At 49.2% G+C, this 25,929-nt stretch overlaps 1 protein-coding gene across 3 annotated transcripts in view, besides 1 other annotated feature; it reads right to left on the bottom strand.

The window, feature by feature from the left end:
• The window catches only part of EPN2 (epsin 2), a 99,350-nt gene extending 86,773 nt beyond the window's left edge, over positions 1-12,577 (bottom strand). For all 3 annotated transcript variants that reach the window (NM_014964.5, NM_148921.4, NM_001102664.2), the window contains exon 1: positions 12,412-12,577. The gene's annotated coding sequence lies outside the window, so the exon portion shown is untranslated. The remainder of the gene's footprint in view (positions 1-12,411) is intronic.
• Positions 12,200-12,669: a silencer, noted in NCBI's record as "silent region_8285". NCBI's record gives its function as "represses an Ori minimal core promoter by ATAC-STARR-seq in GM12878 lymphoblastoid cells {active_cell/tissue: GM12878}" and the evidence as "EXISTENCE:reporter gene assay evidence [ECO:0000049][PMID:35858748]".

Genomic DNA, 25,929 nt, shown 5'->3' with positions numbered 1-25,929 from the left:
TTTAAAGATGGAAGGAGCACGAGCCAAGGAACACAAAAGGCCTCAAGAAGTTGGAAAGGCAGAGAAAACGGGTTCCCCCCCAGAGCCTCCAGCAGGAACCAGCTCTAACTACACCATGACCCCAGCCCATTAAGACCTGTGTCGGACTTCCCGCCTATACAACTGCATTGTTTTAAGCCACTGCATTTGTGGCAATTTGTCACAGCAGCCATAGGAAACTGACAGAGCAACCAATTTCAATGTTTAGAAAGAGGCACAAACAAAACACATCTGTGAGCTCAATCCACCTAAGGACCACTTTTCTAGTCCAGACTGGGCAGAGTCAAGGGCAAGGACTATTTCCTGGGTGCCCAGCACGGAGCCTAGCACACAGCAGCTCTCTGACATTCACCCCAAGTTAACGCAAGGTCCCTTACCTTTACCACATGGTCATAAAATTATCCAGGGATTTCTGGAAAATAGAGCTGCTTAACTGAAAGGAGTTCTATTCCCAAGAGACTGTTTAATCACATAGACATTACCCAGAGGCCTTGGGAAACTGGCCTGGAGTAGAGGAGGGAACATCCATCTCACTGCAAACAGAAAAAAGTGAGGGCTCTTCAGGTCCTCTGGAAGAAACCTCCAACCTCTCCCTCCCAGCCACCCTCAGGGTGCCAGCTTGCTCACTGCAGCTCCAGATAACTTCGGTTGTTCTTCAACAGCAGAGGAACACTTCTCAAGTGGGCTCTTTTTAGCTCCCCACTTTCACCAGCACAGAGATGCTCTGATTAGAGGTGGGGTGGAAGGCCCACAGTCCTGCCCACTCACCGCCAAAAGGCTACGTGAAAACCACAGCCCATGAGTCAAACCTCACCAAGCTCGCCTGTCCTGCCTGGAGAGTCTGGTCAGCAGGCAGCTGGGCCTCTGCCACATGTCCAGCTCTTCCTCCTCTGCGCCCTCCTTGCTCAGCTCAGGCCTCTGCATAATGCAGCTCCCTCGGCCAGGGATCCTCTCATCTCTGTCCCTGAGAACTCCCACTTTTCCTTCAAGACTCGACTCACATACTATTTCCTCGAAGCCTTCTCTGGTTCCCAGGTTCCATTCTAGTGTCTGACACCACTTTCTAAACTTCCCTCCCCCAGCTATCTCCCAAAGCTAATATTACTTGTTACTGAGGCAAGAGCCACCATCTGCAGACCAAAAACTATTTTGAAATGTAAGAGGAACTTAAATTTTATTCACTCAGGCGTTCCCAGCCAACAGCACATAATACATATGTGCTCAATAAGCATTAAGTAAAGAATAAATGAAGTGGACTATAAACTCATTTTTTGACTGAAATACCATATATTACAATGACACTGTGACATGCATTAACTGTACCATGTAAAATCCCACTTCTAGACTTTGACTAATAAACTGAATCTATCTAAATTAGTAACTCCACATTACAACTATCTTTAATAAAATTAAAGAAATGTAATTTAAAATTTTACATGTACCATCTGCTGCAGTCATTACAATTTAGGGTGTGGGGAGGAACTTGGCTAGCAAGCTTGAGAGAACAGATAAGAACCTGCTGTGCCTGCTCTGTGGCTAAAATGCAGGTTGAAAGGAGGCTTGCCAAATAGGTGGATCACAGTCTCTTCTGCCCATCCCTTGTTTAAACTTTCTACTAAGCTGTCCTTCTTTATTTACCAAGGTAGCTTAGAGGCGTATTTCAGCCAGGGTGATCATTTCTGCCAGTTCCTCTCCAGCCCTGATTCCACCAGCCAATCCACAGTCATTCTACAATAGCTCAGGAACCCAGTCCCCGCACCACATTACTTCAAAGGCTTCTTCTGGCTTCAATTTTCCCCTTCCAATCCCTGACACTCCCAGAGGCTCCTCCAAGCACACAGCTCAGCTTCTCAACCCACACAGACTATGAGAATTAACTGGGGGCACTTCTAAAAATTACTGGCTCCCCCTTGATTGGTCTGGGGTAGGGCCCCATCATGGGCATTTTTCTAGCTTTCCAGGCCACATGATTTGCAGGCTCCCAGGGAGTCAAATCCAAACTTCCCAGCCAGCACTGAGGCCCCCTTTACTCCCTAAACACAACTCAACTCTGGCTTCTCTTCATTCTCCATCTCTAGAACTGCTATCTAGCCAGTCTCAGGAAGCCAGTCTGGGCCAGGCCCCCACCCACAGAGATTACTCCGCAGGGCCCCCTTCTCAAACACTTGAGGTGGCACCCACTCAAGACCTACCCTGCTCCCTACTACCCAGAAAACCAAACCCCAAGGCTGCTGTCTCATCAGAGCCAGTGGCCATCTGGCCACCTGGGAGCTCACTGCTCCCAGCAGGCATCCACCCGTCACCAGCTGCAGGAGCCAGCACACACTCAAGCACCTACCCCATCCCATCTCAAGCTTTAACTCCTGCTGTTCCTGAGATCCGAAATACCTTCCCATCTGCCTTCCACTTAGGGATACTGTTTCTTGTTCTTCAAGGTCCAGCTCAAATCCTACCTTCTCCTGATAGCTTCCCTGACTTCTAAATTTTTTCTCCATTCTTGACCCCCTGACAAAGAATCAAAATCATGGCTCAACAAACTGCTAGCTTCTGTCTCACAAATAGTAACTTTGTCTTCTCAATTAGATTAAGTTCTTGGTGGCATTTCATTTATAACCATTATTTGCCTCTAGATCACGTGTTCCATATTTTTCAGGTTGACACTGGCCTCAGTCATGAAACTGTCCTTGAAATGCCCATACTTCTACATCTCCCAGCTGCTTCTCATAAAGTGACATACAAATTCTTTCTCCAATCAGATGTTTCCCAAATTTTGTCATCCATAGTATAGTCATTATATCCCAGGACAGCTCTGAGTATCAAAAAGGCACACAGGGGGCTGGGCGCAGTGGCTCACGCCTGTAATCCCAGTACTTTGGGAAGCTGAGGTGGGCAGATCACGAGGTCAGGAGATCAAGACCATCCTGGCTAACACGGTGAAACCCCCTCTCTACCATAAATACAAAAAGAAATCAGCCAGGCGTGGTGGCGGGCGCCTGTAGTCCCAGCTACTTGGGAGGCTGAGACAGGAGAATGGCGTGAACCCGGGGGCGGAGCCTGCAGTGAGCTGAGATCGCGCCACTGCACTCCAGCCTGGGTGACAGAGCGAGACTCCGCTTCAAAAAAAAAAAAAAAAAAAGGCACACAGGGAGGACTTGCTTTCAGGGGGGAAAAAAAAAACAAAACAAAACAACTGCGTCCCTTTATTGCTAGGATATTTTTTTGGGGGGGGCGGAAGGGGCCTTTTAATACAACTTTTTGCTCACATTGATTTATTCACCTCAGAGTCTTAAAGAGTTCACAAAACAAACTCAAGTCCAAGCCTCCAGGGCCTCCCACAAGTGCAGGGCAAGCACCAACACATAGCTGTTTACCATTCCTTGGTTGGGGAGCTGCAAAGAGTGCTCAAACCTTGGGAAAATGCTCACACCCCAGCCTCCCCAGGACATTTTAAGACCAGAGAGAAAATTACCCATTGGCTAGAACCCAGGTGTTAATTGCCTACTGGGGAAGGACATACTTCACATGGAATTATTATTATTCTTATTATTTTGAGACAGTCTCGCTCTGTCGCCAGGCTGGAGTGCAGTGGCATGATCTCAGCTCACTGCGACCTCTGTCTCCCAGTTCAAGCGATCCTCCTGCCTCAGCCTTCCAAGTAGCTGGGACTACAGGCATGCGCCACCACGCCCAGCTAATTTTTGTATTTTTAGTAGAGATGGGGTTTCACCATTTGGCCAGGATGGTCTTGATCTCTTGACCTCATGATTCACCTGCCTCGGCTTCCCAAAGTGCTGGGATTACAGGTATGAGCCACCACGCCCAGCCACATGTAACTTTTTAAGACTACCAAATTCCAGCTGGGTGCGATAGCTCACGCCTGTAATCCCAGCACTTGGGGAGCCCGAGGTAGGAGGATCACAAGGTCAAGAGATGAAGAAGGGCCGGGCATGGTGGCTCACGCCTGTAATCCCAGCACTTTGAGAGGCCGAGGCGGGCAGATCACCTGAGGTCAGGAGTTCGAGACCAGCCTGGCCAACATGGTAAAACCTGGTCTCTACTAAAAATACAAAAAAATTACCCAGGCGTGGTGGTACGTGCCTGTAGTCCCAGCTACTCAGGAGGCTGAGACAGGAGAATCACTTGAGCCCAGGAGATGGAGGTTGCAGTGAGCCGAGATCGCGCCATTGCACTCCAGCTTAGGCGACAAGAGCAAAACTCCATCTTTAAAAAAAAAAAAAAAAGAGATCAAGACCATCCTGGCTAACATGGCAAAACCCCATCTCTACTAAAAATATAAAAATTAGCTGGGTGTGGTGGCACATGCCTATAGTCCCAGCTACTCGGGAGGCTGAGGCAGGAGGATTGCTTGAACCTGGGAGGCAGAGGCTGCAGTGAGCTGAGATCCCGCCGCTGCAGTGAGCTGAGATCCCGCCACTGCACTCCAGCCTGGCAACAGAGACTCCAACTCAAAAAAAAAAAAAAAAGACTACCAAATTCCATATTTGACCCCCTTTTAACAAAGTAGCATTAGTAGAGGGTTTTCAGTCCTTAGTACCCACACCAGTGTGCAGAGCTGCAGGATCACAAAGTAAAAAGAAATGTCCCCTTCGCTCAAGGAAAAATTTGGCCAATTATTTTAACACAGCTCTGCAAACACAAAAACCCTTACTAGCCCACACAGACTTCCTTGGGGTCAAGCCATCTAGGGTAGCCCTAGGTCCCTGCTGTACACATCCAGGCAGCTTAGGGCCACCTGACAGAGAGGTAAGCTGTTATCATAGAAACAACTTCATAAAGCTCCAAAATCAGACAGGTGTGGGACTGAATTCAGGTCCAGCCAGCCACTGGCCAGGTGCCCATGACCAAGCTTGCCTCTTCCGAGCCTCAGCTTGCTCAGCCTACCTCTTGGGGTTGTTGTGAGGGTACAGTGAGGTAATGGGCGCACCTGGCACAGCTGCAAATGAGGTCGTGGAAATAAAGCAGTTCTGAGTTTGACACAGGTGGCAGCAAATACCAGCTGGGGCATACCAGCAGGAGTTCATACTAACTGTATGGCCTGGGGCAGGTTACTGAACCCCTCTTAGTTTTTTAAAATGCAAAATGAGAAATGGTGATAGGGCTTGCAGGACCACCATGAAAATTAAACACAGTGCATAAAATTAGTAATATAAGGCCTCGCACACAGGAAATATTCAAAAACCATCGGGGCTCACACACACCTCCCTGCACATTCGGTTTTGATGGACAAGTTGATAATTACCACTGAAGAAAAAAAATTCGAACTGTAAACATGAAAGAATATTAAATCTGAATTGCTGCAGGGAGGAGAAGCAACTTCCATTAACACCAGTGGTCCATGCCAAGTGGCCCCGTGGGAATCCAGGACCCAACAACATTACTCCCTCAACCTTTTCAAGTTACAATTCTTTCTTTTTTTTTTTTTTTTGAGAAGAGTCACACTCCCTCACACAGTCTGGAGTGTAGTGGCACAATCTCGGCTCACTGCAACCTCCGCCTCCCAGGTTCAAGCAATTCTCGTGCCTCAGCCTCTCGAGTAGTTGGGACTACAGGCCCACGCCACCACACCTGGCTCATTTTTGTATTTTTAGTAGAAATGGGGTTTCGCCATGTTGGCCATGCTGGTCTCCAACTCCTGGCCTCAAGTGATCCACCAGCCTCAGCCTCCCAGTGCTGGGATTACAAGCATGAGCCACTGCACCCAGCCCCCAAGTTACAATTCTAAAAGGCCTAGACAGTAAACTTCTTACATGATGTGTGAGAATGATGAACCTGCTTTTTCAACAGCATCCAAGATTTACAGCCTTTTTGAAGGACAATGACATCTTCTCTCCCCATTTCCTTTCCAAATGTCACGCCATCCATCATCTTCAGACCAATATTCAGAAACATTTCAGTGTCATTTTTGAGTTCCTACTGCACAGCCAGCAGGTGCTAGACATCTTACACACCTTCCCATAAAGTCCTCTGGGCCAAGGTTCCCAAATTTGGTCCCTAGACTGGCAGCATCAGCAGCACTTGGAAGCTGGCTAAAAATACACATTCTCTGCCAGGCACAGTGGCTCATACCTGTAATCCCAGCACTTTGGGAGGCCAAGACAAGCGGATCACTTGAGGTCAGGAGTTTGAGACCAGTCTGGCCAACGTGGTAAAACCCCATCTCTACTAAAAATACAAAAAATTAGCCGGGCATGGCCGGGCGCAGTGGCTCATGCCTGTAATCCCAGCAGTTTGGGAGGCCGAGGCAGGCGGATCACAAGGTCAGGAGATCGAGACCATCCTGGCTAACACGGTGAAACCCCATCTCTATTAAAAATACAAAAAAATTAGCCGGGTGTGGTGGCGGGTGCCTGTAGTCCCAGCTACTCGGGAGGCTGAGGCAGGAGAATGGCGTGAACCCGGGAGGCGGAGCTTGCAGTGAGCTGAGATCGCGCCGCTGCACTCCAGGCTGGGAGACAGCGAGACTCCGTCTCAAAAAAAAAAAAAAAAAAAAAAAAAAAATTAGCCAGGCATGGTAGCACACACCTGTAATCCCAGCTACTCAGGAAGCTGAGGCAGAAAAATCGCTTTAACCTGGGAGGTGGAGTGCAGCGAACCAAGATCGCGCCACCGCACTCCAGCCTGGGCAACAGAACAAGACTCTGTCTCAAAAAAAAAAAAAAAAAGACACATTCTCAGGCCTCCCCTCCCTAATGAGAAACAATGGGGTGCAGCCCCAGCCACGTGTTCAGCAAGCCCTCTGGGTGCTTCTGCTGCACACAGGAGTTTGAGAAACAAGGCTAGTCTATTTCATGAAGTAGTGATTACGAGCCCCCCTTTAGAGATGAGGACACCAAAGCTCAGTGATTAAAGTGCCCAAAGCCACCCAGCCAGGAGGCCCATTAGTACCCACACCTCATTCCAAAGCTATCTGCCACATGGCCTTTGAAGCCAAATTAACTGTACCACTTGGTGTTCTCAGCTATCGAGCTGCTGCAACGTGCAACTACCTAAGAGGGGTGGGACCAAGAGGAAAAATGAAGCCTGCACTCAGAAGTGATTAATTATAAATGCTTTTAAATCCACATCATGCATTAGCCCTAAACAATCAGCCGTCCCCCAGGATGAGCCTACTTTTCCCTGTTCTATATATCAGCAGGGTTACCATGAAGAGAAGATGGGGAGTCCCTTTATTTACAGCCCTTTGCATGTCCAATTCCTTGTATTGCTTTGAACAGAAAGAGAATTAAGTTACCTGTCCTGTCTCTAGAGGGCTTGAAAGTGAAGCACACTCTGCCTAGACCAGGACCAACAGGAAACAGAATCAGGAAAAGGACTTTCTATGCCCAGGAACGAAGCAGGCTCCAGCACCTAGGTACTAGGGGAATGAGTCACAGAAAGAATCCAATGCATGGATAGGGAGCATTTTAACAATGTTGCGGATCTGGTTCAAAAGAAGACAGGTTTTTTGTTTTTGTTTTTTGAGACAAGAGTCTTGCTCTGTCACCCAGGCTGGAGACTCACTGCAACCTCCCCTTCCCAGGTTCAAGTGATTTTCCTGCCTCAGCCTCCTGAGTAGCTGGGACTACAGGTGTATGCCACTATGCCCGGCTAATTTTTGTATTTTTTTGGTCAAGACAGGGTTTTGCCATACTGGCCAGACTCGTCTCAAAAACTCTAGGCCTCAAGTGATCCGCCCACCTCAGCCTCCCAAAATGCTGGGATTACAGGCATGAGCCACCGTGGCTGGCCTAGGCTTTTTTTTTTTTTTTTTCAGATCAAACACCAAATCTAGTGTCTCTCAGCTAAAATGATCCATTAATTATTGACATTCAAACCACAGTGTTTTCAAAGGTTCTAAGGTTAGGAAAGAGCCAGAAATCTCGTTATTCACAATTCCCAACCTTCTAAATAAACTTGGTGGTGACTTTCAGACAACAAATTTATTCTATTATTTAAATGAATACCTATTATTTTGTGGGGCCTTCTACAGGGGCCAGTGGAGCAGAAGGGACCCAGGCCTGGGAATTACACAGATTCACTTTGAATCCTGGCTGTGCCAGTTCCTCACAGCTTACTTAACCTCTCTGGGCCTCAGTTTTTCTACTCACAAATGGGTGATAATCCCTATGTTAAATGTTGATGGAAATTACAGTGGTTTAAAAAAAGGCTGCTGAAACGGCTTTCAACATATACTTATTTCACTGTATTTGTTTTTCTAAGTTTCTATTTTTAGTTAACTTGAATGAACTAGTTAAGCAATAAAATTCCATTGACGAACTTATCAGAAAGTTTGTCAATTTTTTTTTTTTTTTTTTTTTTGAGACAGAGTCTTGCTCTGTCGCCAAGCTGGAGCACAGTGGTGCGATCTCGGCTCACTGCAACCTCTGCCTCCCAGGTTCAAGTGATTCTCCTGCCTCAGCCTCCCGAGTAGCTGGGACTACAGGTGTGCACCACCACGCCCAGCTAATTTTTGTATTTTTAGTAGAGATGGGGTTTCACCATGTTGGCCAGAATGGTCTCGATCCCTTGACCTCAGGGTGATCCGGCCGCTTTGGCCTCCCAAAGTGCTGGAATTACAGGCGTGAGCCACCATGCCCGGCAAGTTTGTCAATTTTCAAAAACTCAACAGATGGACATAAACATTCATTTCACAATGCATCTGACAAAAAACAAATGTGCTCTTCCCATCCTCAACCACCTTAATCATATCACCCCACCTCCCTCAGTCCACTGTTAACTTGCAGTGTGTCTCTTCATCCCCATGAGACTTGGTCCTCGAAGTAGGTAACAGGTATAATAACATTTTGGAGTCCAACAGATCTGTTCAAATCACTTACTGGCTGCGCGACCTCGAGCATGTAACTTAAGCTCCCTAGGCCTCAGTTTCCTCACCTGCAGATGAGGTGGATAAACCTATGCAACTGACACACAATTGCTGAACCAACAGTAGTGATTTCAGCAACAGTGCGACAGAACAGTAGGGAGCCATAAAAATGTGCTCCCCTGCCTCGAGGAATACTGGTGACAAACCTTTACTGAGCATCTACCATCTATCAGAGACCGAGCCTGGTACTGGAGAAGTAAAGACAAGCTGACCACTGGCCTCAAAGACGTCACAGTGTCACAAGAGCCCCAGATACACGGACAATGTCGTAAGTGCACCAGCAGACTGTGTGGGTTGGTGAAGGTAGGATAGCAGAGAAAAAGGGGCCAAACATCGGACGAGCTAGACGGCAAAGTATTGACAGAAGAGGTCTGTTTACACCGAATACATGAGTTAAAAGTCCAGCAGACAAAAAAGGGATACAAACTACGTAATTCCTCACATCTTTTCCAGCCTCAACTTCCCCGAATCCAAGGCCGGCCATGGTGGCTCACACCTGTAATCCCAGCACTTTGGGAGGCCAAGATAGGTGGATCACTTGAAGTCAGGAGTTCGAGATCAGCCTGGCCAGCATGGCAAAACCCTATCTCTACTAAAAATACAAAAATTAGCCGGGCATGGTGGCACACGCCTGTAGTCCCAGCTACTCGGGAGGTTAGGCAGGAGAATCACTTGAACCCAGGAGGCAGAGGTTTGCAGTGAGCCAAGATTGCGCCACTGCACTCCAGCCTGGGTGACAGCGTGAGACGCCATCTCAAAAAAAAAAAAATTCCCCAAATCCAAGCCCTTTGACTTCTCCAAGGCTCAGGGTCACCAGGTATACATGTCATAAAATGACAACAATCGTGGTCCTTCACACCCCTATACACCAGAGAGAAAGGTTATGGGGAACAGTGAGAACCGCCAGAAAACTTAGAAAATTTTAATGTACTTTCCAAAAGTATGACAAGGACAATTCCATGCATAAAAATCTCATAGTACTTCAGTTCACAACCGAAAGTTGCCGCTCCTCCTAATTAAAGTTAAAAAAAAAAAAAGTCCGAAAACTTTTCAACTTTTGCAGGACTCTTATCAGAATCCCAATTCTTGGGAAATCCTCCGCTCATTATGGAAGAGGGTTAGTGATAACAGAGAATTTCTACAAAGGTTGGGTCATTTTTCAAGGCTGCATACACGATGCTAGATATTATCACTTGAAAGTTTTACATTTCTTCACACCTCGAGTGCTTGGCCCAACACACACTGCTGGAAGTTTTCCACAGAGCTCTCCATCTGGCCAGCTCAGGCTTCAGAGAGGCAAAAAGCCTCTGTAAACCAGGGAAACTTGGTACATCCCACAAGACAATCCGAACTGGCTCCTGGTCCGGGGACTTGTGGGACGCAGTCCTGAATCATGCCTTACAGTAACTTACACTTTACCAAAATCTTTAATAACCAGTATCTCATTCCCTGCTTACAAAAGAATAGCCCAGTGAGACTGGTAAAGATGACTAGCCCAATTTTAAAACCAGGGAAATAAATAAGCTTTTAAAATGTAAAAGTAAAAATACAGATAAATAAAAGATTTAGGCCGGGAGTGTTGGCTCACGCCTGTAATCCCAGCACTTTGGGAGGCCGAGGTGGGCGGATCACATGAGGTCAGGAGTTCGAGACCAGCCTGGCCAACGTGGCGAAATCCCGTCTCTACTAAAAATACAAAGATTAGCCGGGCGTGGTGGATGGCGTGCGCCTGTAATCCCAGCTACTCCGGAGGCTGAGGCAGGAGAATCGCTTGAACCCAGGAGGCGGAGGTTTCGGTGAGCCGAGATCGTGCCACTGCACTCTAGCCTGGGTGACAGAGACTCCGTCTCAAAAAAATAAATAAATAAAAAATTTAAAAGTTTAGGTGCGCTTCCCCAACACAATCACTTGTCCCAAAAACAAGCACCGAACAAGTACCATTCAGAAGCAAATTGTAGTCCCTTTTGATGTTCATTTAAATACAGATGAAAACTTAATTATCAATGCTAACTCAATCACTGCTGTGCCAGATTCAGCATAAGATTTTGTCAGCACCTAAAATTCTGTATCTAGAGCTACAAGAGGCACGTTTTCTGCCAAATCTTCGTTATATTACATAATGAGAGGAAGCTTGGATTCTTAAAATTCACCTTTTCCCATCATTTTAACACCCTGTTCCAATCCCTTCTTTCACAGGATATTTTCTGGAGGTGAAAAGGAATAACTCATTACTTCTCATATTTTCCTGCCCACTTTCTTGCATAAATATTAAAAATAAAGGGGAAGGTAGGGTCCTGAACATCTCCCTAAAAGATAAAAAAGTTATTAAATGTGGTAAACAGAGCCTGGAGACCTAGCTTCTAGTTCTGCACTGACACAGTATCACTGCGTGACCTTGGGCAAATTACTGCAGTTCTGGGCCTCAGTTTCCCTCATCTGAACCCTAATGATGGTTAAGCCCTCTCCGCTCTTAAAGCACAGATTTTAGATACGTCCCCAGGGAAGCACAACTGTGAAGGAGTCGCCCAGACGGACTCCTTGGGCGGAGAAACGGCCTTCCACAAGCTCCGGCGGGGGGATTCACAGGGAGCTCAAGCTGCCCCAGGGAAAGCCACTGGGCAAACTTCAGGTCGCAAACAAAAACCTGTTGGCACCGACTCCTCTAGCAAAGGCCAGCCTCCCAACGCGCTCGGCTCTCGGCTCTAGGGGAGCCGCCCCACAGGGAGAGAGAGGAAGTCTCTCCTGGAAGAGGCCAGACCCCACGCACCCATTCACCCACCCGGATCAGCCGAGCAGGACCGCCGGGCCGGGTGGGTCTCTGCCATCCCACGCGGAACAAAAGGCAGCTGGAGCCTGGCTCTTCCGCCCCCGTCCCCGCTGTTCCGTGGGAGTGGGGGCTGGGGAGTGGGGAGCCTGGTCCCCAAGGACGGAAGGGGGCCCTGCTACAGCCCCCAGGAAAGGTGAGACGGGCGGGATCCCGGACAGAGATAAGGACCCCTCCCCCGATTCCCGGAGGGCGCCCGGACCGGGCTCTGCACGGGGGCTGGCGGGAGACCAGGCTGGGCTCAGGAGGAAGGGGCGCCGGGCTCGGGGAGAGGAGGAACGTGCTCTGGGGAGGGGGCGGGGTTGTTCCAAGATGAACGGGGCTCCAGGATCCGAGGTAGGAGTAAGGGGCGCCCTGGACTCTGGGGACATAAAAGGAGATGCTCGGTGATAGGGACGGGTAAGGGGGGAGATCCTTGCAGCGGAAAGCTGGATCCAGATGGGAAGGGGGCCATGCTCCAGTCCGTGGGGCGGGGCCTGGTTGGAAAGAAGGGGATCCCCCAGAGCCTGGCGTAGGGACCAGCGGGGCGGCAGGGGCGCATGCCCTGGCGGGGCTGGTGAGGTAGGGGAGCCTGTGCTCTGGGGGCGTCCGCGCCCTGGAGAGGGGGAGGGTCCTCGCCCCGGGGACTCGCTCTGGCCTTGGAGCCCCACGGGCTGTGGCTCACCTCTGCTCCTCCGGGCCGGCGTGGGTGCGCCGCTGCGGCCACCGGCAGCGCTCGAGAGGCGGGAGCGACCGTAGCCCGCGGAGCCGCCGCCACCGCCGCGTCTGGCTCAGTTTGACACCCACACACCAGCCAACATGGCGGCCGGGAGGGGGCGCGCCGGACGCGTGCGCGCGCCCTCAGGCCCCGCCCCCGAGGCCCCGAGGTCCCGCCCCCACGCCCGCAGACCACGCCCCTGCGACCCCGCCAGAGCCCCTCCCTAGTGGCCCCTGCGCGGCTTCCCCTCCGCCTCCTGCGCTCCAGGACCCCACGCGGACGACCCACCCTTCCGCAGCGCCCCACAGTCGACGCCCGAGCCCCCAAAAAACCCCCAATCCCGAGCGCCACACAAACCCTGGCAAATTAATACCCGAACGCGCGCACTCTAATCCCCTTCAGGCCACTCCACCCCGTACACACTCACGGCCCCCCCACACTCACGGCCGGGCAGCACGCGCAGACCCCGCCCCGTCAAGCAGAAACTCACGCTCCGGCCTGCCGGTTTCACTCAAAAACCTTGTTCAGTAGGAGAGACTGGAAGGGGGCCAGGGCCTGCCGGGCGCTGGTAGGGTTGGGTTCTTAGGCTACAAGTGTGTTCACTTTATGAAGATGCGCGGAAGTACACTTTGGATTTGTGCGCTTTTCCGTGCGTGTATTTCACGTCAATAAAATATACTCAAAAACGGAGAAGTCTCTAGGCTTCTTTAGGCTGCTCAAGGGGTTACCTAAGGGCACGAATGGCAAGGGGTTACCTACATGGCACGAAAACGGAAACCCTTGACTGGCGGGCACCCACAAAGCACCTCCTCTGTGCCAAGCCCTGTGCTGGGCACAGAAATGAGACAGCCCCAAATGCCTCGAATGAGAGTCCCGGAACTGGAGGGGCCAGAACTGGAGGCTGCACCTCAAAGCTGACTAACCTGCTCCAATCAGGGTGGGAGTCAGCAGAGACTTCTCACAGCAGGGGCGCGGAGCATGAGTCAGGGCTTGCTAGGTGGGCAGAGGGCACCATCCCTGTTGCCTGGGTGACATCAACACTCTGCCTAGCCTTGGCTTCAGGGAAGCTGTGGCCAGAAGTCTTCCTCTGCCCTAACTCACTGAGGGACCTTAAACAAGTCACTGTACTTCTCTGAGCCTCAGATTCCTCCTCCCTGTACAGGAACCAGGGGATGAAAGTATCCCTTAAGGTTCTAACAACCCAGGATCTGGAATTCCATTCTCTGGCAAAAAAAAAAAAGGTTGTATCTTTCCAGGAATTCATCTATTTATTGTAAGTTTTTTAGTGTGTGTGCATAGACGTGTTCATAATAGTTTTTGAGGGCTTTTTTGTGTTTGTATGGGGTCGGTGGTAATGTCCTCTTTGCCCTTTCTGATTATGTTTACTTGTATCTTCTCTTTTTTCTTTATTAGTCTAGCTAGTGATACAATAAATACGATAAAAATGGAGAGAGCTTGTAACACGTTTGCAAAACCACATAGCCACTTTTCCTTTGAAAAGTCAAACACTGGTAGCTCTAGATGCTAGAAACACTCTCCAGTTAACCACCCTTCCCACTGCTTGGTGCCCCTTCTCCACCAGCAGAGGGAATTATGCCCTATGTGCCTGCCTTGCAGCAGAAGCCGGAGCTCCCCGTTTTGAACTTGGTCCACCCTCATCCCAGAGAATGCCCTCAACCAGTCCAACATTCCTTGTGAGCCTCACCTCTTTACCCCATCTCCAAGGAAAGCAGAACTTTACACTGCAATCATGCTTCTGCCCTGAGTTTACAATGTCAGATGAGTTATAACACAGAGCTGATGCACAGCACGGGCGTGATGCTTCTAAATCAGCACTGTTCAGCAGAATTTCCCTCCACGATGGAAATGTTCTTTCTGCGTGCTGTCCGTAGGATAGCTACGAGTCACAGGAGGCCAGCGAGCACTTGAAATGTGGCTAGTGAGACTGAGGGGCTGAATTTTTTAAACTTCATTAAACTTTTATTAATTTAAATGTAAATAGCCATATGTGGCTAGATGCTACCATGCTGACCAGTGCTGGTCTAAAACCTTACCACAATTCCACAAGTGCACATTCTTTTTTTATTTATTTGTTTTGAGACGGAGTCTCACTCTATTGCCCAGGCTGAAATGCAATGGCACAATCTCAGCTCACTGCAACCTCCATCTCCCAGGTTCAAGTGATTCTCCTGCCTCAGCCTCCCACGTGGCTGGGATTACAGGCCCGCACCCCCACACCTGGCTAATTTTTGTATTTTTAGTAGAGACAGGGTTTCACCATGTTGGCCAGGCTGGTCTCGAACTCCTGACCTCGTGATCCTCCCGCCTCAGCCTCCCAAAGTGTTGGGATTACAGGTGTGAGCCACCGTGCCCAGCAAGGTGCACATTCTTGCTGTTCACATTTTACAGACAAGAAATTGAGGTTTGGAGATATGCTGGGGCTTGGCCACCCAGGCCCACTTTTCCATATGCAGAGCCTAATACTCCCTTCACTACCCACCTAGCAAGTGTGTGTAGCCGCACAGATAATATGCAAGCCTGGAAAGAGAACTGGATACAGATAATGAGATGATGAGCTAACCTACAGGACAGGAAGTGAGTTGGAGAATACCAGATTAGCCCAGGCTTGGGAAGTGGAGGAGGGTGTCCTGAGGCCGGAAGACCGCCACGTGCAAGGTCAGAGGGGACATTCTTGCATTCCTCAAAGTCATTTCTCTTTCCTGGACCCCCTCCTTGAAGCGTATCAGCCCCCTGGCATTCCTCTCTCAATTCATCCTCATGATGATCCCTTGACGTCAGCAGCCCTATTCCTATTTTAGATGCGGAAACTGAGGCAGCATGTGGCAGGGCTAGGATTCAATTCCAGGTTCTATGAGTCTAGAGCACATAAGCAGTCTTGCAGAGGAACTTGCAGGATAAGCTGAACAATTTCATCCGTGCCCAAAGCAGTCCATGGAAAACAGGGCTGGAGGAGACACTCTCATCTGCCCTTGCAGAGGTTTGGAGGTTGGTTCCAGGTGGATAATGGAGCAGACTGATGGGGGCCGGTTGGAGAGGTGTATTTCAGAAGAAAGAGCTGGCAGTGCAGGCCAGGGGTGTCTCTGGGGTTAGGGAAGGAGGGTTTCAAGCAGGAAGGGACTTTGGGGGAAAGACTGGCAGGCAGCAGACAGGGACAGACTGCATGCTGAATGAAAAGAATCACTTAGCACAGGTGCAGAACAGGCTCCCCGGGATCTTCACCAAAGGCTTGAACTCTATATTCAAAACTATTTGTCCCACAAAAAGAAACTTGTGTTGGCAATCCAGAAACACCTAATTTCTTGTCCACCGACTTGCTGCTTGACCATGACGTCACTGCCCCTCCCTGGACCTCAGTTTCCCCATCTGTGAAGTGGGAATAATAACCCCTCCCACTCCCTAGGATTGCATTCTGGCTCAGGTGAAAAGGCAGAGGAGGAAATGCTTTGGAAACTGTAAATGCACTGGATGGGTGTTGATGGCAGTTCTCTTATTAAGGACATTGAAAAGAATGGAGCCATCCTTTCCCTTCTAGGGGTTGAAAGTCTAGGACAGAGAAGTTTTGAGTTTGGGCAGCATGAACATGAGCAGAAACCAAATGCCACATAGACAATCAAGAGAAAGAGCTATGACAGCTCTCACAGGAGGAAGTTTCCTTCTAGCCCATGGGGAAGGAAGGACCTGTGCCAACATCCTGGAAGTGCAGGTGCTGGAGAAAGGAACTAGTAACAATGACAACAAAGTAGTGAGCATTGTGCAAATGTTTTGCATGCAGTACCTCATTTCCTCTTCATAAAAAACCCTAAGAGGTAGAGACTACCGTTATCCTTATTTTACAGCTGAGGTTCAGAAAGCTTCCATTATTTGCCCAAGATAACACAGCTAAAAAGTGGTAACCCTGGAAAACCCAAGCCTAAACTCCAAAGCTAAACTTTTTTTCTTTGTTTTTTGAGACGAAGTTTCGTTCTTGTTGCCCAGGCTGGAGTGCAGTGGCGCGGAGTTCACCGCAACCTCCGCCTCCCAGGTTCAAGCAATTTTCCTACCTTAGCCTCCCAAGTAGCTGGAATTACAGACATGTGCCACCACACCTGGCTAATTTTTGTATTTCTAAATTTATTTATTTATTTATTTATTTAAGATGGAGTCTCACTCTGTTGCCCAGGCTAGAGTCCAGTGGCGCAATCTCGGCTCATTGCACCCTCCGCCTCCCTGGTTCAAGCGATTCTCCTGAGTAGCTGGGATTACAGGCATGTGCCACCATGCCCAGCTAATTTTGGTATTTTTTTAGTAGACACGCCGTTTCACCATGTTGGTCAGCCTGGTCTCGAACTCCTGACCTCAAATGATCCGCCTGCCTTGGCCTCCCAAAGTGATGGGATTACAGGCATGTGCCACCATGCCCAGCTAATTTTGGTATTTTTTTAGTAGACACGTGGTTTCACCATGTTGGTCAGCCTGGTCTCCAACTCCTGACCTCAGATGATCCGCCTGCCTTGGCCTCCCAAAGTGATGGGATTACAGGCATGAGCCACTGCACCCGGCCCTTCTATTTTTTTAGAGACGGGGTTTCACCATGTTGGCCAGGCTGGTCCTGAACACCTGAACTCAGGTGATCTGTCCACCTTGGCCTCCCAAAGTGCTGGGATTACAGGAGTGAGCCACCATGCCCAGCCTTTTGTGTGTGTGTGTGTGTGTGTATGTGTGTGAGAGAGAGACCGGGTCTTGTTCTGTCACCCAGGCTAGAGTGCAGTGGCACAATCATGGTTCACTGCATCCTCAATCTCCTAGGCTCAAACAATCCTCCTACCTCAGCCTCCCAAGTAGCTGGGACTACACCACACCTGGCTATTTTTTCCAATTTTTTTGTAGAGACAGGATCACATAATGTTGCCCAGGCTGGTCTCAAACTCCTGGAGTTGATCCCCCTGCCTCAGCCACCCACTCAAAGTGCTGAGATTACAGGGATGAGCCACCATGCCTAAAACTAAACTCTTGGGAAGAATCTGAATAGGCTGAAGGGAGCGACTCCTTCTCCCTTCCAGCTCTGAGCCTGAGTCAATCAGAGCTTTCTCTCCCTGGTCAGTGATTAGTTCAGGAATGGGCACCTGACTCATAGCAGAGCAATGACTCTCAAGCCAAGCCTGGGACTTCTACAGAAATCATTGAAAAAAGAAGCTTCTAGGGGCCGGGGTGCAGTGGTTCATGCCTGTAATCCCAGCACTTTGGGAGGCTGAGGCGGGCAGATCACCTGAGGTTAGGAGTTTGAGACCAGCCTGGCCAATATGGTGAAACCCCGTCTTTACTAAAAATACAAAATTAGCTGGGTGTGGTGGCGTGCACCTGTAATCCCAGCTATTCAGGAGGCTTAGACAGGAGAATCGCTTGAACCTGGGAGGCGGAGGCTGCAGTGAGCCGAGATCATGCCACTGCACTCCAGCCTGAGGAACAGGAGCAAAACTTCATCTCAAAAAAAAAAAGTTAGCCAGGCGTGGTGGTACATGTAATCCCAGCTACTTGGTTGGGAGGCTGAAGCAGGAGAATCGCTCAAACCCAGGAGGCAGAGGTTGCAGTGAGCCAAGATTGTGCCATTGCACTCCAGCCTGGGCAACAAGAGTGAAACTCCGTCTCAAAAAAAAGAAAAAAAGAAGCTTCTCTTCCTATCAGGTTACTGAGCTAGTGGGATATAAGCCTGGAGTAGCTCCATAATGGAGAACCAGCCTAAGAATGAAGCCAACACAGATGGGAACAGAGATGAGAGAAAAGATAGAGTCCTGCTGATATTAAGCACCTTGAACCAGCCAGCCAGCCATGCCTGAAGCTTTAAGCATAGACTTTTCAGCACACAAGCCAATACATTTTTTGGAACTATTGTGATAGAAAACCCAACTCAGGCCAGGCACAGTGGCTCACGCCTGTAATCCCAGCACTTTGAGAGACCAAGGCGGGTGAATCAGGAGGTCAGGAGATCAAGACCATCCTGACCAAAATGGTGAAACCCTGTCTCTACTAAAAATATGAAAAATTAATTGGGCATGTTGGTACGTGCCTATAATCCCAGCTACTCAGGATGCTGAGGCAGGAGAATTGCTTGAACCAGGGAGTCAGAGGTTGTAGTGAGCCCAGATTGCACCACTGCACTCCAGCCTGGCAACAGAGTGAGACTCCTTCTCAAAAAAAAAAAAAAAAAAAAACAGAAAAAGAAAACCCAACCCAGGCCAGCTGAGGTGGCTCACACCTATAATCCTAGCAGTTTTGGTGCTCCACACGGGAGGATCACTTGAGTTTAGGAGTAGGAGGCCAGCCTGGGCAACATAGTGGGACGTTGTCTCTTAAAAAAAAAATTTTTTTTTTACTTAGTTGGACGTGGTGGTGCTCACCTGTAGTCCCAGCTACTTGGGAGGCTGAGGCGGGAGGATCCCTTAAGCCTAGCAGGTTGAGGTTGCAATGAGCCATGATTGTGCCACTGTATTCCAGCCTGGACAACAGAGCAAGACCCTACCCAAAAAAAAAAAAAAAAAAGAAAGAAAGAAAGAAAGGAAGAGAAAAACCCCACTGAAACTGGCTTAAATGATAATTGGAATCAATTGGCTCATTTAACCAAAATTTCCAGAGCTAGGGTTCAAGTGCAGTGCGATCAAGGCTCTGGCTCCATTCTTTAGCATATGCCTCTTGGACATGTGGCCATTTTCCTTGGCTGGTGTCTTGACTAGCTGCAGATTGGCTGTGGCACATCCATGCCTCAGATCTCTGGCCATGCCATGGAAAACAGAGAGCAGTCTGGGTGCAGTGGTTCACACCTGTAATCCCAGCACTTTGGGAAGCCGAGATGGGCAGATCACAAGGTCAGGAGTTCGAGACCAGCCTGGCCAATATGGTGAAACCCCATCTCTACTAAAAATACAAAAATTAGCTGGGCATAGTGATGCGCGCCTGTAGTCTCAACTACTTGGCAGACTGAGGCAGAAGAATCGCTTGAACCCGGGAGGCGAAGGTTGCAGTGAGCCGAGATCATGCCACTGCACTCCAGCCTGGATGACAGAGCGAGACAGAAAGAAAAGAGAAAGAGAGAGAAAGAAAGAGAGAGAGAGAGAAAGAGAAAGAGAGAAAAAGAAAGAGAGAAAGAGAGAGAAAGAGAGAAAGGAAGACAGGAAAGGAGGAAGGAAGGAAGGAAGAGAGAGCATCTCTTTCTCTCAATTCAGCAAACTAAAATCCTAGGCTTGCTCTGAATGGAAGAACTTGGATCATGGGAGGGTGAAATGGGGAATTATGATAATTGGCGTAGTCAAATCAGGGCTCATTCCCGGAGTTGCGACAAGAACAAATGCTGACCAGGAGTGCCCACCACACTAATGAATTCCCTCTTCTCCTTCTTCAGCCAGACCACTAGCATTTTCTTTCTTTTTTTTTTTTTTTTTTTTTGAGACGGAGTCTTGCTCTGTAGACCAGGCTGAAGTGCAGTGGCGTGATCTCAGCTCACTGCAAGCTCCGTCTCCCGGGTTCACGCCATACTCCTGCCTTAGCCTCCCGAGTAGCTGGGACTACAGGTGCCCGCCACCACACCCGGCTCATTTTTTATATTTTTAGTAGAGACGGGGTTTCACCGTGTTAGCCAGGATGGTCTCGATCTCCTGACCTCGTGATCCGCCCGGCTCGGCTTCCCAAAGTGCTGGGATTACAGGCGTGAGCCACCGCGCCCAGCCCACTTGCATTTTCATTAGTCAGTATCCAGATTCCTGATAGTAACCCCATTTTCTGTTTTTTGTGGGTTTTTTTGTTTGTTTTGTTTTGTTTTTTGAGACCGAGTTTCGCTCTTGTTGCCCAGGCTGGAATGCAGTGGCTCGATCTTGGCTCACTGCAACCTCGGCCTCCGGAGTTCAAGCGATTCTCCTGCTTCAGCCTCCTAAGTGGCTGGGATTACGGGCACGCGTTACCGCCCCCGGCTAATTTTGTATTTTTAGTAGAGACGGGGTTTCACCATGTTGGTCAGGCTGGTCTCAAACTCCTGACCTCAGGTTATTCTCCTGCCTCGGCCTCCCAGAGTGCTGGGATTAAGTAACCCCATTTTGAAATGGTTTCCATTTAGCTTTTTTGATAGTTCCAAACTTTCATACTTTCAGTCTTCATTAAATCAATTAATAAACTGATCATTCTGCTTGGGATTTACATAATATCTTTCTTCCAGAGCTTTAATTATATTTCATAAGCAAATTTCAATGACCTTCATCATTTTTCCTCCCTAGAGCATAATGTGTAACTATAAAAATAGCATCCGTGGCTGGGCGCGGTGGCTCACGCCTATAATCCCAGCACTTTGGGAGGCCGAGGAGGGTGGATCACAAGGTCAGGAGTTTGAGACCATCCTGGCCAAGATGGTGAAACCCCGTCTCTACTAAAAATACCAAAAAATTAGCCGGGCGTGGTGGCGGGCACCTGTAATCCCAGCTACTCAGGAGGCTGAGGCAGAGAATTGCTTGAACCTGGGAGGCAGAGGTTGCAGTGAGCTGAGATCGTGCCACTGCACTCCAGCCTGGGCAACAGAGCAAGACTCCGTCTCAAAAAAAAAAAAAAAAAAAAAAAAAAAAGATAGCATCCACTCAATATCTAGTCTCTGATCTTATGGCACATTTCTGTTCCATTAATCTTTAGGCTTTTTCCCAAAGTGGTGAAGATTCCAAACAAAATGGGCCATTTAGAAAACGTTTTCAGGCTGGTCACCGTGGCTTACGCCTATAATCCCAGCACTTTGGGAGGCCGAGGTGGCTGGATCACAAGGTCAGGAGTTCGAGACCAGCCTGGCCAACATTATGAAAACCTGTCTCTACTAAAGACGCAAAAAATTACCTGGGCGTGGTGGTGCATGCCTGTAATCCCAGCTACTCGGGAGGCTGAAGCAAGAGAATCACTTGAACCTGGGAGGCAGAAGTTGCAGTGAGCTGAGATCACACCATTGCACTCTAGCCTGGGTGACAGGGTGAGACTCTTTCTCAAAAGAAAAAAAAAATGTTTTTGGCTGGGCACAGTGGCTCATGCCTGTAATCCCAATCCCAGCACTTTGGGAGGCCGACCGAGGTGGGTGGATCACTTGAGGTCAGGAGTTTGAGACCAGCCTGGCCAACATGGGGAAACCCCGTCTCTACTAAAAATACAAAAATTAGCCAGGCGTGGTGGTGCACACCTGTAATCCCAGCTACTCGGGAGGCTGAGGCAGGAGAATCCCATGAACCCGGGAGGCAGAGGTTGCAGTAAGCCAAGATCACGCCACTGCACTCCAGCCTGGACAACAGAGCAAGACTCCGTCTCAAAAAAAAAAAAAAAGTTTTCTTCAGATTGTCAAATTCTGACTTGAAACAGTTATCATAAGCTGAGCCTGGTGGTTCACACCTGTAATCCCAGCACTTTGGGAGACTGAGGTGGGAGAATCGCTTGGGTCCAGTAGCGAGACCTTGTCTCAAAAACAAATCAAACAAACAAAACACAAAAACACAACCACAAAAAGCAAACAACACCCCCCTCCCACCCAAAGAAAAAGAAATGGTAACTACCTGGACAAAACATTTCACGTGCATTGTTTTAGTAAACAGACACAACCTTGGCTTCAGGTCTTTTTTGTTTTCTGTCACCCAGGCTGGAGTGCAGTGGTGAGATCTCGGCTCACTGCAACCTCCACCTCCCAGGTTCAAGTGATTCTCCTGCCTCAGCCTCCAGAGTAGCTGGAATTACAGGTGCAGGCCACCATGCCCGGCTAACTTTTGTATTTTTAGTAGAGACACAGTTTTACCATGTTGGCCAGGCTGGTCTTGAACTCCTGGCCTCAAGTGATCTGCCTGACTCAGCCTCCCAAAGTGCTAAGATTACAGGCATGAGCCACGGCACCCGGTCTTGGCTTGTTTTCTTGACAGATCGTTGCAACAGGGTAGGACAGGCACACTTATCACTGTTTAACAGATGAGCAAAGTAAACTGAGGTGCAGAGAGGGGCAATAGCTGGTGGCCCAGCTGATAGGCTGAGATTTTCACATGTCAGTCAGAGCCAGGGACCAACATCTATCCACTATTCTCTGCTGTCCTCTCTCAGAGCGCCCCTTCTTTGGAAATGTGCATAGCACCTTTCTACAAGAGACTCTTAGTGTGTTCTGAGAAAGCCGTAGCTCCTCACCTGCCTCAGAAGGGCACGGTGCTTGCTTCTTCAGAAAATTTACAGACAAGTTTCACACACTTAAAACTTTCAGCTTGGCTTGAGAGTTAAAACATAACCACTCCAAACTGTAATACAAAGAAGTCTGCTCAAAAGAGTAGCATTTGACCAGCCTGGGCAACATAGGGAAACCCCATCTCTACAAAAAAAAAAAAAAAAGTACAAAAATTAGCCAGACGTGGTGGCACATGCCTGTAATCTCAGCTACTCAGGAGGCTAAGGCAGGAGAATTGCTTGAACCCAGGAGGCGGAGTTTGCAGTGAGCTGACATCGCATCACTGCACTCCAGCCTGGGTGACAGAGCAATACTCCATCTCGAAGAAAAAGAAAAAAAAAAAAAATACATGCACAGAAAAAAAGTTCAATCAGTGCATAAGGACATATGCAACAAGTCTCCCTCCTACTGTTTCTCCTGATCTGCAGGTCCCCTCCCTAATGGCAATCACTGTTACAGTGTAACAGAGATTCTGACATAATCTTATTGTATGTATTTCCTTCACCCCCACGCATGGAAACAGTAACTCCCTCCACACACTACCTCATGCTTATATCATTAACAGTGTAACTCTTGGAGATTGTTGCACACCCACCAAAAGAGAACTGCCTTATTCTGTTTGTTTGTTTGTTTGTTTTGAGACGGAGTCTCTGTCGCTCAGGCTGGAGTGCAGTGGCACGATCTCGGCTCACTGCAACCTACGCCTCCCAGGTTCAAGCAATTCTCCTGCCTCAGGCTCCCGAGCAGCTGGCATTACAGGCATGCACCACCATGCCCAGCTAATTCTTTTGTATTTTTAGTAGAGACTGGGTTTCACCATATTGGCCAGGCTGGTCTTGAACTCTTGACCTCAGGTGATCCACCCGCCTCGGCCTCCCAAAGTGCTAGGATTACAGGCGTCAGCCACCACGCCCAGGCTCTTTTTTTTTTTTTTTTTTTGAGTCAGAGTCTTGCTCTGTTGCCCAGGCTGGAGTGCAGTGGCACAATCTCAGCTCACTGCAACCTCGGTGTTCCAGGTTCAAATGATTGTCCTGCCTCAGCCTCCCGAGTAGCTGGGACTACAGGCATGCACCACCATGCCCAGATAACGTTTGTATTTTTAGGAGAGATGCGGTTTCACCATGTTGACCAGGCTGGTCTTGAACTCCTGACCTCAGGTGACCCACTGCACCCGGCCCAAATTTTTTTTTTTCTCAGACGGAGTCTCACTCTGTTGCCTAGGCTGGAGTGCAGTGGTGTGATCTTGGCTCACTGCAACCTCTACCTCCCAGGTTCAGCGATTCTCCTGCCTCAGCCTCCCGAGTAGCTGGGATTACAGGCATGTGCCGCCATGCCCAGCTACTTTTTTGTATTTTTAGTGGAGATGGGGTTTCACCGTGTTGGCCAGGCTGGTCTCAAACTCCTGACCTCAAGTGATCCACCCACCTTGGCCTCCCAAAGTGCTGGGATTACAGGCGTGAGCCACCACTCCCGGCCCCTGATTTTTGTATTTTTAGTAGAGATGGGGTTTCGCCACATTGGCCAGGCTGGTCTCGAACTTCTGACCTCAGGTGATCCACCCACCTCGGTCTCCCAAAGTGCTGGGATTACAGGCGTGAGCCCCTGTACCCAACCTCATTCTTAAAGCCTTCCTATATTTAACCAGTCCCCAGCAGATGACGTACATTATACCCTGCATTCTGTTTCTCATACATGTTCTTGCGCAAATTTAACTGCAGGGTAAGTTTCTAGAAGGGAAATTCCATAGTCTAGACTAAAGGTTACTGGTAGGCCAGGTATCTCAACCTATATTTGGTTCTCAGATCCAAAGGTAGGATTTACAGAACAAAACTGCTTCATGTTCAGTGGGGTTTCACATGCCAGCTGCAGGTGAGAGCTCTGGGGATTTGCATGCTGTCAGCCAACACCCTAGCCACCTGGAGAGGTCCTCTGTTGAATTAACTGCCCAGCATCTGTCCACCCTGTGGACCACCCACAGCAGTGTTGCCTTCAAAAACTTGCCTGCTGGTCGGGCACAGTAGCTCATGCCTGTAATCCCAGCACTTTGGGAGGCCGAGGCAGGCGGATCACATGAGATCAGGAGTTCAAGACTAGCCTGGCCAACATGGTGAAACCCTGTCTCTACTAAAAATACAAAAATTAGCGGGGCATGGTGGTACACGCCTGTAGTCCCAGCTACTTGGGAGGCTGAGGCAGGAGAATCCCTTGAACGTGGGAGGCAGAGGTTGCAGTGCACCGAGATGACGCCACTGTACTCCAGCCTGGGTGACAGAGCGAGAATCCACCTCAAAAAACAAACAGGCCGGGCGCGGTGGCTCACGCCTGTAATCCCAGAACTTTGGGAGGCCGAGGCAGGTGGATCACGAGGTCAGATCGAGACCATCCTGGCTAACACAGTGAAACCCCGTCTCTATAAAAATACAAAAAATCAGCCGGGTGTGGTGGCGGGCGCCTGTAGTCCCAGCTACTCAGGAGGCTAAGGCAGGAGAATGGCATGAACCCGGGAGGCGGAGTTTGCAGTGAGCCAAGATCGCGCCACTGCACTCCAGCCTGGGCGATAGAGCGAGACTCCGTCTCAAAAACAAACAAACAAACAAACAAACAAAAAACTTGCCTGTTAATTCTCATTTCTGAGATCCTGCAGCTACCTTGGGTGGTGGCCTGTCCAAGCCTGGCCTTTGTTTTGTTTTGTTTATTTGTTTTGAGACAGTCTTGTTCTGTTACCCAGGCTGGAGTGCAGCGGCGTGATCATGGCTCACTGCAGCCTCAAACTCCTGGGCTCAAGCGATCCTCCCACCTCAGCCTCCCAAGTCTTTGGGATTATAGGCGTGAGCCACCGTGCTGGCTTGCCTTTGGTTCTCTGAACTACTCCAGTTCTTTCCACTAAATCCACCCCCCTCTTTTTTCCCCTTTGGTTAATCAGAATCCATATCTTTTGCTCCAGATCAAAGAACCCTACCCGATGATCCCTTCTCCATTCACAAAATCAATAACATACTCAAAATCAATAAACAGCTGACCGAGCACAGTGGCTCACGCCTGTAATCCCAGCACTTTCGGAGGCAGAGGTGGGCGGATCACAAGGTCAGGAGTTCGAGTCCAGACTGACCAACATGGTGAAACCCCGTCTCTACTTAAAAAATACAAAAATTAGCTGGGCGTGGTGGTGTGCACCTGTAATCCCAGCTACTTGGGAGGCTGAGGCAGGAGAATGGCTTGAACCCGGGAGCCCGAGATTGCAGTGAGCTGATATCATGCCACTGTACTCCAGCCTGGGT

This window comes from Homo sapiens, chromosome 17 (genome assembly GCF_000001405.40).
Source record: "Homo sapiens chromosome 17, GRCh38.p14 Primary Assembly".
NCBI lineage: Eukaryota > Metazoa > Chordata > Mammalia > Primates > Hominidae > Homo > Homo sapiens.
The sequence above is the reverse complement of the archived record's forward strand: the minus strand, read 5'-3'. Positions and strand labels throughout refer to the sequence as shown.